This window comes from Homo sapiens, chromosome 14, assembly GCF_000001405.40.
Source record: "Homo sapiens chromosome 14, GRCh38.p14 Primary Assembly".
Classification (NCBI taxonomy): domain Eukaryota; kingdom Metazoa; phylum Chordata; class Mammalia; order Primates; family Hominidae; genus Homo; species Homo sapiens.
In genome coordinates, this window is record NC_000014.9 from 55,780,192 (window position 1) to 55,796,935 (window position 16,744).

General features: G+C 41.8%; 1 long non-coding RNA gene across 2 annotated transcripts; it reads right to left on the reverse strand.

Moving 5' to 3' along the window:
* Window positions 1–943: 943 nt before the first annotated feature.
* Window positions 944–16,483, reverse strand: LINC00520 (long intergenic non-protein coding RNA 520). 2 transcript variants are annotated; one of them, NR_026796.1, is made up of 4 exons: window positions 16,412–16,483; window positions 14,093–14,154; window positions 13,177–13,265; window positions 944–2,789 (listed from the first exon to the last, which is right to left on the reverse strand). It is a non-coding gene; the product is annotated as a long intergenic non-protein coding RNA 520 (long non-coding RNA). The 2 variants fall into 2 exon arrangements; NR_026797.1 differs by lacking the exon at window positions 14,093–14,154.
* Between the last annotated feature and the right edge of the window lie 261 nt (window positions 16,484–16,744).

Genomic DNA, 16,744 nt, shown 5'->3' on the forward strand with positions numbered 1-16,744 from the left:
GGCTTTTCCTGGAGTTGGGGTGACTGACGGGTTGCGTGTGGTGGAAGGGCCTCCTGGAGACCCATGAATGACATCTGGGCCACTGTGTTTTTGGACGATGTTCATTAGGTCAGAACTGTGGACAGGGAGGAATGTTTTCATTACAAGGCTTGGTGCAGCTTCATGAGAAAAGGAATCTAGGGAAAGCTTCCAACACCCAAATTATGCTGCAGGCACAGGACCAATGGTGGCACTCTCTCTCCTCCACTCCCTCCTGCCTGACCCTCCCCTGTCAACACTGTCTCAATTTAGTTATAAGCAAGACCAAGCAGAAGTTCTCCCTTACCGCCTCTCTCCATGTCATTACACAAGCACCTTCCAGAAAGAACACAAGGGCCAGCTCTGAGAAATCTAGGGTAATCCGCTTCGTGACCTGCAGTGGAAGGAATTTGGGCCTTGTGCCAACATGCTGATGCCACGAAGGTTAACTAGTATTAAAAACAGGGTGGAGAACCCCATCAATAAATAAGAGGAAGTAAGATTTGGGACTGCTTCTGCAGCCTGATTAAATAGGGAGTTTTATCAGGGGAAATTCTGCACCCATATGGGGGCTCACCCTGGGTCCTCAGTGCTCACACTGCCCTCTCCTCCTACTCTCTCCTGCCATGTGCCTGTCTCCTGGGAACAGTCCCCCCAATATTGTCCGAAAAGCTCACACCTCCATGGTCTATTCTGGATAAATGCAATCAGTGAGGAATGTTTCTCTGTGAAATGGGACCTGAGGCTTGAGGTCCTTAGGTTTGGCATGAAAGGAGACAGGGGAGGTGGGACAGCCCCAGCCCCAGGGAGTCTCTCACTGCCTGCTCCAGGCCCTCAGCTGGGCACATTATGCAGGCTGACTTGATGTATACTCCCTGTGATCCTGTAAAGTACAAATGATTATATTCCAGATGAAGAAACATGGTCTCAGAGAAGTTAAGTTTATTTTGCTCCTTGCTGTTCTCGAAAGATTTGAGGTATTTAACAAAAGTGCTTATGATTCAAAAGGAAAACAATACAGGCTTGATGGGGAGAAGGAAGATAAAGGCAATGCTTGGAAGGCGTGATAAGCTACCCAGAAATGTACACCATGCTGGGCTGGTCGAGTGGTCAGAGGTGGCCATACGTTTGGCTCGGGGTTTCCTAGAAGCCAAAACAGAAGGAACACAATTTATATTTAGAAAAGTGAAGCAACTGACACAGGAAGTAGAGTAGCCAGGATTTGAACCCAGGTTTTTCCAATGCCAAAGCTCATTCATTCCCTCATTTGTTTGTAAGTTGGGACTTGTGTTACGGTCTTCAATGGAGGCTGAGGTCCAAGTCACAAGAAGTCCAAGGCACAAGAAGCTCAACTGCAAGTCCTGCCACACAGTGACAACAGCCACCAATGTGCTGTCAAGATTTGGATCAAACACTCCATGCCAGGCTCATCAAGAAGCAGCTAGATGGGGTCTGCCCCCTACACATTCCCCTCCCAGTGGCCCCTCCCTAGCCCGTATGGGTCCTCCTAGCACCCAGGCCATGTGTGGTGAGGGGCTGACATCTCATCAAGGGAGAGGGGATACTTTCCCTTCTTGGATGCCACATGTAAAGACTGGGGAACCATATGAAGGGAAACTACTTGGCTGGAGGTTTGCTGAGCTGTAGAATCCACAGGCTCACCCTATGCTGTCACCAAAATTCAGCATGATGAGAGAGCTCTTGGACAGGTCAACCTGGGTCCTCGAGGGAGAGGGAACATGGATGTAAAGACTGGTGCCCACACAGGCCTATACAGTTCTGAAGGCAGAGGCCCCCTGGAGTCGTTGGTACCAGTCAGACTTGATGGGATTGTGGGGCAGTGTCTCTGGGAAGAGGAGAGGGCAGCTCCAACCCTATCAGATTCTCCACAGCCCTTGGAGGGCAGGAAAAGTATCTTAGAAGGTTGTCTTCTTCTTGGCTCATTCTTAGAAGAGTTACCAGGGCAGGTAAAAACAAAAACCAGAACCCCAAAATCCTTTAAGGTAGAGACTTTGAACAAATTGTTGAAATCTATTAAGTCCTTAGTTTGTTCATCTATGAAATGGGCATAGGACCCTTTCCTCTACCCCCCTAAATTTTGTGAGGCTTCACTGAAACTGGTGTAGTATGTGTCTCATGGGCCTGACTCACATAGGTCACTTGAAACATGGTTGTGGAATCTGGTTTCATGTTATCTTTGTTTTTGTCTTCTTCTTTTTTTTTTTTTTTTGAGTCTGTTCTGTTCTGAGGAATCACCAGGATATACTGTTCTTGTGAATTGCAGTCCTGTCTTCTTACTTGTACTGCATTAAAATCTTCTGGAGAATTTTAAAAACACATATTCCTGAGCCCAGTCAAGTTTCTGTCTCCATCTGCCAGAGGGAAACACTAGAATCAGAAGGTTAAAAGCTCCCCAGGTGATTCTGTAGTGAAGTATGAGTACTTCTGCATCCGGCTATGCTTGGAAATCCTGAGTGGATTGTAGGTGTTATCCGCCCCTTGCTCAAATAGCACTCCTCTGCTTCTATAAAATTTGTGAAATTCCCACGAGGCTCTCACCTTGGCCTGAAAAGCAAAGTTATTTAAAAAGAGTGCAGAGAGCCATTGTTAACTACTACTATTCCAGCTCTGATGGCTTATTGGATCAGCTCATCAACCTCAGATGTCCCTGAAGGAGCAGGGCTTCTAGATAGATGCCCTTTGATGAGTGAGTCGCTGAGAATTATTCCAAGCCATAGAATCTTGCTTGGGCAGCCAGTGAGAGGTGGTACCTTGAAGAGGAAAGAAAGGGGAATAGAAAAGGAAGCTAGTCTCTCTCATTTAATTAGCCTTTGTATCATGAATAATTTTTTCACTTTTTATTTGAAATAATTTCATTCTGTAAAGTAAATAGATTAAAAACATTTCTGGCATATAAAGTTATAAAAATAGTACAAGGACTTTCTTATATATGTTGCTCAGCTTCTTCAAATATTAACCTCTCAGAAACCAATTCTATGATCAAAACCAGAAAACTAACATTGATAGGAAAGAACTTTACAATGAGAATTACAAACCATTGCTCAAAGAAATCAGAGATGATTCAAACAAAGGGAAAAACATCCCATGCTCATGGATAGGAAGAGTCAATATTAAAGTGGCCATACTTCCCAAAGCAATTTACAGATTCAATGCTATTCCTATCAAACTGCTAATGACATTCTTCACAGAACTAGTAAGAAAACTATTTTAAAATTCACTTGGAACCAAAAAACTCGAATAGCCTAGGCAATCCTAAGCAAAAAAACAAAGCTGGAGACATCACATTACCCAACTTCAAACTATACTGCAGGGCTACAGTAACCAAAACAGCATGATACTGGTACCAAAACAGGTACATAGACCAATGGAACAGAACAGAGAGCCCAGAAATAATGCCACACATCTATGATCATCTGATCTTTGACAAAGCTGACAAAAACAAGTCATGGGGAAAAGGCTGTCTATTCAATAAATGGTGCAAGGATAACTGGCTAGCCATATGTAGAAGATCAAAACTGGATCCCTTCCTTACACCATATACAAAAATCTACTCAAGATGAATTAAATACTTAAATGTAAAACCGCAAACTATAAAAATCCTGGAAGTCGACCTAAGCAATACCATCCTGGACATAGGAATGGACAAAGATTTCATGATGACATCAAAAGCAAAAATTGACAAATGGGATCTAATTAAACTTAAGAGCTGCACAGTGAAGGAAACTATCAACAGATTAAACAGCCTACAGAATGGGAGAAAATGTTTGCAAATTATGTATCTGACAAAGGTCTAATATCCAGAAACTATAAGGAACTTAAAAACAAATTTACAAGAGAAAAACAACCCCATTAAAAAGTGGGCAAAGGATAAGAACAGATACTTTTCCAAAGAAGACACATATGCAGCCAACAAGCATATGAAAAAACTCAATATCACTGATCATTAGAAAAATGCAAATCAAAATAAAAAAGAGATACCATCTCACACCAATCAGAATGGCTACGAAAAAGTAAAAAAATAACAGATGCTGGCAAAGTTGCAGAGAAAAGGGAACACTTAGACACTTGGCAGGAGTGTAAATTAGTTCAACCATTGTGGAAAGCAGTATGATGATTCCTCAAAAAGCTAAAAACAGAACTACCATTTGACCCAGCAATCCCATTACAGGGTATATACCCAGAGAAATACAAATCTTTCCACCATATTGACATGTGCATGCATATGTTCACTGCAGCACTATTCACAATAGCAAAGACATGGAATCAACATAAATGCCCATCAATGACAGATTGGGTAAAGAAAATATGGTACATATACACCATGCAATACTATGCAGCCAGAAAAAATGAGGTCATGTCTTTTGCGGGAACATGGATGGAGCTGGAGGCCATTGTCCTTAGCAAACTAATGCAGGAACAGTAAACCAAATACCATGTGTTCTCACTTACAAGTGGGAGCTAAATGATGAGAACTTATGAACACAAAGAAGGGAACAACAGACACTGGGCTCTACTTAAGGTTGGAGAGGAGCAGAAAAAATAACTATTGGGTACTAGGCTTAGTACAAAGGTGGTGAAATAATCTGTACAATAAATGTCTGTGATACGAGTTTACCTATATAACAAACCTGCACATGTACCTCCGAACCTAAAATAAAAGTAAAAAACCCAGCTCAGTGATCAAAACCAGAAAATTAACATTAACATGAAACAAATTACAGATTAATTCTGTGGAATTCAATTAAAATTTGATTTCAAATTTAATCATTCAAATTTCTTCAGTTATCCCACAGATATCCTTTTTTCTGGTTCAGGATCCCATCCGGGATCCCATATTACATTTAGTTGCCATATTTTTTTCCCAGCATCCTTTAACCTGGAACAGCCCCTCTGTGTTGTTTTTTTAAGACTGATGCTTTTGAAGAGTACTAACTGGCTGTTTTGTAGGATGAACGCCAGTTTGGGTTTGTCTGATGTCTCCTCTTGATTCAATTTAGGTTATTCATTTTTGGCAGGAATACCACAAGAGATGATGTTGTTCCCTACTAAGGACATTACAGGAGGTGGCACAAGATTAAATGTTTGCACTTTTAGAAGAACATCTTAGAAGGGCCTATACTTATTTTTACAATGAATACACAGTTTTTAGCAATAATGAAGAACAGGTGAAGCTGCATCCTGAACCTGCTCTATAAGCTCTCCTTCTCTGCCCTCCTGCACCACGTCTTAACCTTAGCGCTTGGCCTTTCTTTCCACATGCTTCCTTCGCTAAGCGTGTCTGCCTAGAATATAAGGACTCCTCTTAGAGGGGCGAAGTACTTTGGGAAAGATTTGTACAATTGCTCATGAAAAGAAGCCCAAAGAGTAATAAAAATGTAGTAACTGCCTCTAGTTAAGCACATTTTTTTTTTTTGGAAAGAAAATTGGATATAATAAAAGTTGAATGTGGTTGAAGAAACAAAGACGTTTATGCATCTGTGTGTGTGCAAGATTTGCCAATAAGGGAAAAACTTAAACAAACTGCAGAAAATATAGTTGTTAGTACAAAATTAGCTCATGTTTCAAGTGGGTAGGAGTGAAATACTTCAAAATAGTAGAGAAAGAGAGGAGCTGAATGGAACTGTGAATGAGAAAGTAAGAGCCAGGACATTTTTGCCTGCCCTGCACAGTTAGAGGTCACATAATTTTAGGATAAATTTTGCCAGAGTGACAGCATCCAGAATGTGCTTGTGTTGCATGGATGGATCGTTTGCCTCGCTTGGGTCCTTTAGGAATAGATTAAAAGCTTTATCATAGGAAAAGTATTAAAAGCACCAAAGACGAACTTCAGTTTTATAATTGTTCATCCATTTGATGATGTTGGCTGAGGTCAAGAAAAAAATAACCAGAGAATAAGAGGGCTTTATTTTTAGAGTTGAATGCCAATGACCTTATTTTTGGAGAAAATCATATTATACTCAACTTAAAAGAGGAAAACAAAAGAGAAAAGGACAAAATACACAGAAAAAAGAAAATACACAGAAAAACATTTCCTGGATCAAACACTTAAACATTTTGGCATCCTTTAAGATCTCTTTTTATCCATATACCCACAGAGAGGTTTGCCATCTTATAATGAGACTGCACATGCTGGTTTCTATCCTGTTCTCTTTTTAGTCCTTCTCTTTTTCTGCTTAAAAGTAACAACTGCTTATTGTAAAGAAAAAAAATCAAACGTTTTAGATCATATGTTTCATCCAAACGTTATGATGCAGAATATGAAAATCTCCCCTAGTGATAAACATTTAAATAGTTTGATGTATTTTACTTGATTTTCTCTATATCGTCTTGGAGCTTAGTTTTTTCACATAATGTATCTTAGGCCTAACACCTGTCTAATGGATATAGAGGGGGTCACTTGACCTTTTTGGCATTCGAAGTTTCTTTTCTTTGGAATATGGTGGTATGAAATGTGCATTGATCACCTGCCTCTTAGGAATTTCTCTCATTTCTTATTCTATATTTTGGGAGCATCTGTCTCCATTTGCTACCTCATCTCTGTTCAAAATTCTCCTGCATTGACTTCACGACACTGCTTCCCATCTCACCACCCTCTCCTTCCTCCCTGCTCTCCTCAAACCAAGGGCTCATTGCTGTTTCCTGATCCCTTGTCCAGTGTCCAGCCTGGTTTTTCATCTTGTTTCTCACACATGGCTCTTTCTCCCCCAACTCTGGCTTGGATCCCCCCACCCCACGGGTCTTCTTCCAGGGAGACTGCGTACCTCCTACAGCTTCAGCTCTTAAGTGGGACCCTAACTGGGAATCTATATTCATTTCCTAAGGCTGCTGTAACAGAGTACCACAAACTGGGAGGCTCACAACAACAGAAATGTTTTCTCTACAGTTCTGAATGCTAGAAGTCTGAAATCAAGGTGTTGGCCAGCTATGGTCCCTCTGAGGGCTCTGGGGGAAGATCTTTCCTTGCCTAAAATTCTAGCTTCTGCTGGTTGCCTGCGATTCTTGGCACTCTGGTTTGTAGATGCATCACTCTGTTGACCAAAAGAGTCAAACTCTGTAAAATGGTAGAAGAGATGTATTCTGAGCCAAATACAAGAGACAAATGGCTCATAACACAGCCCTCAAGAGATCCTGAGAACATGTGTCCAAGGTGGTCAAGGTACAGCTTGGTTTTATACATTTTAGGGAGACATGAGACATCAAATACACTTAAGATATACATTGGTTTTGTCCAGAAAGGGGGGACAAATGGAAGCTTCCAGGTCATAGGTGGATTCAAAGATTTTCTGATTGATGATTGGTTGAAAGAGTTAAGTTATTGTTTAAAGACTTAGGAATGTCTGGGTTAAGATGATGGGTTGCGAGACCAAGGTTTTGTCATGCAAGTAAGGCCTCCAGGTAGCAGGCTTCAGGGAGAGTAGATGGTAAATGCTTCTTATCAGATGTATAAGTTTGATAAGTCCATTTCCAAGTAAGATCACTTTCTGAGGTGCCAGGTACATATCCATTTTGGGGGGACCTTATTCAACCCAGTACACTGCTGTAGGTTATATTACCACTTTCCTTTTAGACATTTTTTGTTTGTTTGTTTTTTGTGATGGAGTCTCACTCTGTTGCCCAGGCTGGAGTGCAGTGGTGTGATCTTGGCTCACTGCAAGCTCCGCCTCCCGGGTTCACGCCATTCTCCTGCCTCAGCCTCCTGAGTAGCTGGGACTACAGGCACCCACCACCATGCCTGGTTAATTAATTTTTTTTTTTGTATTTTTAGTAGGGACAGGGTTTCACTGTGTTAGCCAAGATGGTTTCGATCTCCTGACCTCATGATCCTCCTGCCTCGGCCTCCCAAAGTGCTGGGATTACAGGCTTTAAGGCATTTCTTTGTTCATGTTCCGCAGATGTTTTCAACTCAATATGTCAAATAATAACCTTATTTTCACACCAATCCTCTAAGCAGAACCTGCTCCTTCTGAAGGGATTAATGGAGTCACTTTCCTTCCAGTAACAGGCTGGGGATCTTGGCATTTTCATTTCTTTTCATCTCAACAATCACTTGCCAGGCTCTCTGACTCCTCCATCAGCTATTTTCACATCCAGCCCTTCCTTTAACCATCACAGCCACTGTCCTTGTGTAGAGCTTTGACTCTGATGCCTGGAGAGGCCAGAGAACAAATATAATGATGAAAAGGGGGTGTGACACAGTAGGGAGGGACATGGACTCTGGTGGGCTGAGAAGCTGGCCTCCTCTGGAAGTATTCAAATCTAATTCCACCTCCTCCTCCAAAACTCTGGAGCTCTCAGTCTTCCTGTGTGCAACCCAGGTTCCACTCCTTGTGTCTCCAGCCTGGGTTAAAGTAATCATTTCTTTCTTTCTTTTTTTTTTTTTTTTAAGACGGAGTCTGGCTCTGTCGCCAGGCTGGAGTGCAGTGGCGCAATCTCGGCTCACTGCAAGCTCTGCCTCCCGGGTTTACGCCATTCTCCTGCCTCAGCCTCCCAAGTAGCTGGGAATACAGGTGCCTACCACCACGCCCAGCTAATTTTTTGTATTTTTAGTAGAGACGGGGCTTCACCGTGTTAGCTAGGATGGTCTTGATCTCCTGACCTCATGATCCACCCGCCTCGTTCTCCCAAAGTGCTGGGATTACAGGTGTGAGCCACTGCGCCCAGCCTAAAGTGATCATTTCTTAAATACATTACCCATGGTAGCCCCAGTCCATCCATGACAGAGAGACTTTCCTGAAATACAGATTGGAAGCTGCTGTTTTCTCTATTAAATTGTACCAGGGCTTTCCATTCTCTATGCTGGTGACTGGCTTCCAGTATGCAGACACACACATTAGGTAGTCTGCAAGAGGTGGACAGGAGGGAAATTTTGGAACTATGTATATTCCGATGTTAAAAAAGATGGAGGCCGGGTGCAGTGACTCACAGCTGCAGTCCCAGCACTTTGGGAGGCTGAGGCAGAAGGGTGGTTTGAGCTCAGGAGTTCCAGACCAGCCTGGGCAACATAGCGAGACCTCATCTCTACTAAAGATAAAAGAAATCAGCTGGGCATGGTGGCCTATGCCTGTAGTCCCAGCTACTTTGCAGGCTGAGGGGAGAGGATTACTTGAGCCCAGAAGGTCAGGCCTGCAGTGAGCTATTGCACTGCAGCTTAGGCGACAGAGCACAGCCTGCAGAGGAGCCAAAGCTTCACCAAAGTGCAAAGAGGGTGCCAGTGGAATTCATCCTTATGCCGCAATGGACATGAGCCCAGGGATAAGTTTTTAGTATCTAGTTTTAACTAAACTCTAGTAAAATGGACAAGGGGCTTAAAATTGCTTCAAGGACTGAAGAAGATACTAGTGTTGAAGTGCAAACAAACAAGAAGCTAAGTCTGGTTCAAGCCCTTGGTCAGCTGGTTTATGAGGTAACAGCAATGACAATCTATGGAGCCCTGCCAAGCAGTTGGCTAAACAAATTCAAAGTTGTGAAGAAGACTGTTTGAAATGCAGATGTTAAATAAAAGTTTTGCTAGGTAAATGTACATTGTGCTTTGAGGATGTGCCTCTGCCAATATGAGGCCATCGCAACCAGCAAGGCATTTAAACTTAAAATCCTCCTTTTAAGTTAATATATATTTTTATCTTTCATAAGATAGTATGACACATTAATGTAGTGAATCAGATATATAATTTCTAAGTAAATAAACACAAATACCCATATTAGCGTTATGTACTTAGAGATTTTTTAAATGAATGGAGTGTGTGATCACAAGTTTGGAAAACAGTGGTCTACAGAGTCAGGTTCATGCTCCTTAGCACTGCATGTCAGGCCGGTAGTCACAGCGCCTAACCTTTTTAACCTCGCCTCCACTCTCTCTCTCTCCATGGGCGAAATCTACGGCTTATGTGTCCTGCTATGGTTTGACTGTATCCCCCAAAAAGTGCATGTTGGAAACTTAACTGCCGACGCAGCAGTGTTGGGTGGTGTGGCCTAATGAGATGTGATTCGGCCATGAGGGCAGAGTGAATGGGTGAATGCCATTGTCACAGGAGTGGATTCATTACTGTGGGAGAGTGGGTTTGTAATAAAACAGGGAGTTTGGCTCCTTTTCCTCATAACTTCTACCACGTTTTGAGGCAGAAAGAAGGCCCCTGCCAGAGGGCAGCCCCTTGTTCTTGGACTTCCCAGCCTCTAGCATTGTGAGAAATAAATTTCTGTTCATTATAAATTACCCAGTCTGTGGTAGTCTGCTATAACAGCACAAAACAGACTAAAGCCAATTTGCACACTTGGTTCCTTGGCTTCGGTTGTTTTCTCTGCCTGTCAAAGCTCCAGTCTCCTCCTCTTGTAACGTTTCTCTCCTCTCCAAGGTGGGATCACACGCCACCTCCCCTGAGTCTGTCCTTATTCTCAGTCACTCTTTCATTCCTGTCTGCTCTTGCTCACATGGTTTCTCACACCTCTGTTCAGCTTCTACGCTTGGGCAGGTGCTGCTGGCTTGTGTGTGTGTGTGTGTGTGTGTGTGTGTGTGTGTGTGTGTGTGTTGACCCTGTGCTGCGTGACTGGAAGCTCCCTGAGGAGGAGCCTGACTATTCCTCATTCTTTGTCACCCCTCCTCTTCCCTTCTGTACTCCAACAAGGTACTTACCCATTCAATGCATTTTTTACAGAATTGACCTTTTTTTTTTTAAATGTTCTCATATTAATGACCTTTTATACTTGAGCACAGTCTACATTTCCTGTACAAAGAATGAGGATCATTAGTAATTGAGGAAATGATGAAATCCAGCCATTCTGACACTGTTCCTTATCTAGGATCTCTCGCTTTCTCCCCAAAGCTGCTTATTAGGGAAGTTTTTACAGTGATAGAACATGGCGAAAGAGCAGAGGACAAATCTCAGAAGGACAATGAGATAAAAATGGGAGATTTTCCTTCTGGTTCTTTTGTTACAAAAGCCTTGTTTTATAAACAAATTTATCTACCTGCCAATAGCAGAAGTCACTTCTTGGCTAGAAAAGCATTTTCTTTTCCTTTTTCAGTTCTGTAAAACTTATGTTGTATCCATTTTTAGGCAAAACAAAAACTTTTTTTTTTTTTAAACCTGGGTATGAATAAGTTATAAATATTAAATGCAAAAGAAGGGAGCTTTTATAGTCAGTATTACCTATGTTGTTACTAACCTCAGAAAGGGCTACTGAAGGGAGCTGTATGTGGCAAGATGCTGCCAGTTCTGTGACTTTCTTGTTTGCCTGCTGCATTACTTTGGACAGCTGCCTAGAATGACCTTTATTGTTTATGGTGGAGCTGCACATGTAACAGTGAAGAGAAATCTAACATAGTTGACTCCATCTTGCTTCTAACCTCACAAGCTAACTGCCTTTTCTCATTTCTGCATGCAGGCCGAGGTAACTCTGGTAGAAATTTAGTTTATAGTTTAATTTAAAGCAAAGGTGATAACAGTCCCTTCCCAAAACTAACCCCTGAGGAGATAAGGAGGGTATACACACTAATAACCATGTTGTATTAAAAATGTACAGGAGCCTTGTGACCTGACCAAGGACAAGATGTTTTGCAACCCTTTGGACTCCTGCTGATGCCTGGATGTCTGTGGTCACTTGTTACTGCCTGACCTCAACCCCTAACCTCCTCCTTGTTTCCCTTTCCCCAATATAAAAACAAGCTTGAGATTCATGCCTTTATTTTCATTTTTTCAAGATGGAGTCTTGCTCTGTTGCCCAGGCTGGAGTGCAGTGGCACGATCTCGGCTCACTACAACCTCCACCTCCTAGGTTAAGCAATTCTCCTGCCTCAGCCTCCTGAGTAGCTGGGATTGCAGGCATGTGCCACCATGCCCAGCTAATTTTTGTATTTTTAGTAGAGATGGGGTTTCACCATATTGACCAGGCTGCTGTCAAACTCCTGACCTCATGATTCCCCCGCCTTGGGCTCCCAAAATGCTGGGATTACAGGTGTGAGCCACTGCGCCTGGCCGAGATTCATGCCTTTAAAGATGGTTCTTTACAACACTAGTCTGCCATCTTCTTGGTTTGTTGGCCATTGAAATAGTCGTTTTGCTTCCCCCAGCACCTTGTCTCTTGACTTACTAGCTATTGTGCCGTGAGTGGTATGAGTTTTGTACCTGACAACACACATATAAACCAAACAAAAAAGTAATTTTCAATTATAAATCTCTTATAGTGTGTTTAAGCAAGCATAAGAACATGCATGTGTTGTAAGAATGATAAAAAGATAATATCTAGTTTTGGCTAAGTGGTGGGGCAAAGCACTTCTTGTCTCCTGTTGGCAGGAGTTTGAACTGGCATAATTTTTCTGAAAGAAAATTTGGAAAAATTCTTTAAACACTAAAAGTGCGTATTTTTTGATGTAACAATGCCATTTCTAGCAATGTATTCTAAAGATATAATTACAGTTTTGAACAGAGATTTAGCTATAAGGATGTTCATTGTAGCATTGTTTACAATAACAATGAAAATTAGAAATGACTTACATGTCCAATAATAGAATATTGGTAAAATAAATTATAGTTTTTCCATACAACAGAATAATTAGCAGCCAGTACAAACTGAGTTGTAGCAGAATTTTTAATGATACAATATATTGTTAAGTCAGTTAAGCAGGCCATAAATAGTACATTCAGCCTGACTGTAATTTGTTACAAAAAACAAGCATGTGCAACTTTGATTTTCTAGCTTCCTCTAGCAACAAGAGGCTACACTTGTTTTTAGTATTCATATCCTGTGGCTCTATTCCCCATCTAGTTTGATTGCATGATATTCTTTCTTCTAGAAGATTCCCCTTCCCTGTGTCTCATTACCTTAGCCTGGAGCTTCATCTCTTTGCAGGGCACCTCTTGTTCCCTTAATATCTCTCTTCATGAGGCTTTGCAGAAACATGGACAATGGGTTAATTCTCCAAATGCAGGTTAGACTGAGCTGTGATGTATAATGCAACTTTGCTGAGTGCTTGGGTATAATATATGGAAATTGCGAACAAAAAAAAAACTTAAAATTGATTATGAGATACATTTGCTCCTAGAAAACTTAAGCTTGTGTCAGTTTCACCCACTGTGTCCTGTAATGGCTGCTTCTTTCCTTGTCATCCAGCCCATGGCCATTTTGCAAGGACTAACTTATTACCTCTTGCCAGAGTGTCCTTCAGCTTTTCTCTTCCCAGGAGTCCTTGCCACCAATCTCTCTGAGACCCCAAAGAGGGAAAAACAGCTTCCCTAAAAGGAAACACAATTTGTAGAAATGAATTCCACCCACATGAAGGATAGTTACATTTACATTAATTGTGCTGAGTGATTTAACCTAGTGTGTGAAACCTCCTCGTTTCAGAATGGGATTTCAGAAAAGGCCATGAAAGAGATCTTTTTCTTGCCACACCTCTTACTCCCCCAAACAAAAGGACAACCTGACTCAAAAAGAAATATCAGCTATCATTCTGGAATGCAAAACTTCTTGTGATAATAAAGGAAAATACTATATCGTTCCCCTATGCTTTTGCTTTTTACCAATAGTGTTAATAACAACAAAAAAGAAATTCAGTGTCAACTAGAACACTTATTCTACCTATAGATGGGTGTAGAAAACCCTTGAGATGTGCCCTAAGATATAAGCAATAATGACCTCTAGGTGAAGAGTTTATTAGTTAACTATTCCTGTGTAAGAAATTATCCTAGAATTTAGCAGCTTAACACAACAAACATTTATTATTTCACAGTTTGTGTGGGGCAGGAATGTGAGTGTGGCTTAGTTGTCTTGGGGCCTCTCACAAGGCTGCAGTCAAGGTGGTCAAGACCCTTGATCTGGGTCTTAGCTTAAGGCTTAACTGGGAAAGGCTGTGCTTCTACACTTCGGTAGCTCAGGTACTGGCTGTTGGCTATGGGCAAGAGATGTTAGTTCCTTGCCATGTGAGCCTGTCAATAAGGCTACTTCCAACATGGCAGCAAGTTCTGTGTGTGTATGTGAGAGAAAAAGTGGTGGGGAGAGAGAGAGGGAAAGGTCATAGGCTTTTTAGTAGTCTAATGTGTTGGGGGTCCACAACACTCACCCCCTGGCTTTGATGATTCAGTAGGAGGACTCACAGGACTCAGCACATAGTCATACTCATGGCTGTGATTTATTACCGAGAAAAGATAAAGCAAAATCAGCAAAGGAAAAAGGTGCATGAGGTAAAGACCAGAGGGAACCAGGCACAAGCTTCCAAGTCCTCTGACAGTGCAGTCACACAGGACAAACTTTACTCCCCTAGCAGTGAGCTGAAACACGTATGAGATGTTTGTCACTAGACAACCTCATGGAAGACCCAATTCCCAGGGTTTTTATTGTGGGTTAGTCACATTGACACCTGATGTCTAGCACATACCCATATTCTAGATTTCCAGAAGGAAGGCTGATGTTCAACATAACTATTGTTGGCACAAATAGCTTAGGCAGAAAGTGAGTCCTTCTTATCAGGGCATGGGGGGAACCCTTTCTCATGAAATGCAAAGGCCAGTCTTGAAAGCAGGACTGTCTAAGGAGAACAGTCTCAGGCCTGCTATGTTAACTCTTTTCTGCACACCTAATCTTAGAAATGACACCCATTGCTTTTTGTGTATTGTGTTCCTTAGAAGTGAGTCACTAGGTCCAGCCCCAGGCAAGGGGAGGAGCTTACAGAAGGACATAAATGCTGGGAAAGAAGTGTCACTGGGGGCTGTCTTAGTGACTATCCACTACACGGGGTGATTTTACTTTTTCTCATTTGTATTTTCTGTTTTTCTCTCTAATGATACGTAGTACTTTTATAGTAAGAAAAAGCCAGAAAAACATAATTATGTATACAACTTTGGTGGAAGAAAATTGGGCTTCCTGTTGGTACCATCTGCACACGTAGGTGTGGGTTTTTATGGTGTAATAATTCTCGATGGTGTTAGAGATGGTGAAGTTACCTATGAGGAAACATTGGAATGTTTCTAGTTATAAGGATAAGTGCTGGATTTAAAAAAAGTTTGGTGTTTTTAACAGCAGCAACAGTGGTAGAGGAGCTGAAGTTGACAATAATTTGCGAAATGGCAGGATGTGGAGGCTAAGGGAAACTCACCAGGCTCCAGGAAGCTTCAGACCAAGGCAAATATTGTGCCTTGACATGTTTGTCAAGAAACCCTGCAGGTCATTGTTTAATGTATGTCAATGTGGGGACAGCTGCAGGGACAGAATGAGGAGGTGTGTAGAGGGTGGAGGATGGAGCAGAGCACTTCTACCCTGGGCTGTGTGTAGGGGGCGAGTGGCAGGGTAGCAATTTCACTGCTGCTCTGAAGGGAAAGAAGAGATCTGGGAGAGAAGGATGAGGTACCTCTTCCCTCTCTGCTTTTCAGCTCAGAATTTCAGAGAGGAAGGGACTCTGGCCTGGGAGAGGAAGATGAACCTATCATATAATGACTGAGAGCTGTTGCCTGCTGGTCTAGTGTTATGGTAGTAAAGATGCCACTAAACTTCAGAGGTAGACAATGGCACAGGGACTCAGGAGTACCCTTGCTGTCAGGCATCAGAATCATGGACATTTTATGAGAGAGAGGTGGGGGGCAGGGGAGGAGAAGAGCAATGCATTCAGAAGGTCTCCTCTAGCATCCACAACACCCCACACTTGTTTCATCTTTCTTCCTCACAGTCATTAAAACCTTCTAATGCGCTATTATTATTTGATTATGTTTGTTTTTTGTCTTTTCTCTCCACCTTGATATAAGTTTTATGAGGACAGGGATTTTGTCTGTTTTGTGTCTGTTGTATAAACAGGCACTCAACAAACATTGTAAAATTGAATTAAAAAACACATATGCTAGTACTTCCCATTCATTGCCTTGCTCTGTTGCTTATTGGTATTTAAATAAAACTGCATGTGTTTGCCTTTTAACTTTGTGAATTCATCTGTAGAGCTCCATGAACTTTAAAACAGATTTGTCAATATTATAAGTAAAATAAGCTAGACACAAAAGGCCACATATTGTATGATTCCATTTATATGAGATGTCCAGAATACACCAATTCATAGAGACAGAAAGTAGATTAGTGGTTGCCACAGGCTGCGGGGCAGAGGGAGTAGAGAGTGACTGCTAATGGGTATGGGTTTCTTTTCTGGTATAATAAAAATGTTCTAGAATTAGATAGTGATAATGGTTGCACCACTCTGTAACTATACTAAAACCCACTGTAGGAGAGAAAAGTAATATACTTTCCTCATCTATTGCAAGGTTCATGACTGACACTCCTATAACAAAAGACAGATTAACAAGAGAAAAGGGTAACACATTTGTATTAGTTCTCATGCTGCTAATAAAGATATACCCAAGACTGGGTAATTTATAAAGAAAAAGAGGTCTAATGGACTCACAGTTCCACATGGCTGTGGAGGCCTCACAATCATGGCAGAAGGTGAAGGAGGAGCACAGTCATATCTTACATGGCAGAAGGCAAGAGAGCTTGTGTGGGGGAACTGCCCTTTATAAAACCATCAGATCTCTTGAGACTTAGTCACTGTCACGAGAACAGCATGGGAAAAACTCGCCCCATGATTCAGTTCCTTTCCATTCAGTCCCTCCCATGACATGCGGAGATTATGGGAGCTACAATTCAAGATGAGATTTGGGTGGGAACACAGCCAAACCATATCAGCATTTATTCAACCAAAGTTTTATAGGACATGAAAGACTTCAGAAATGAAGAA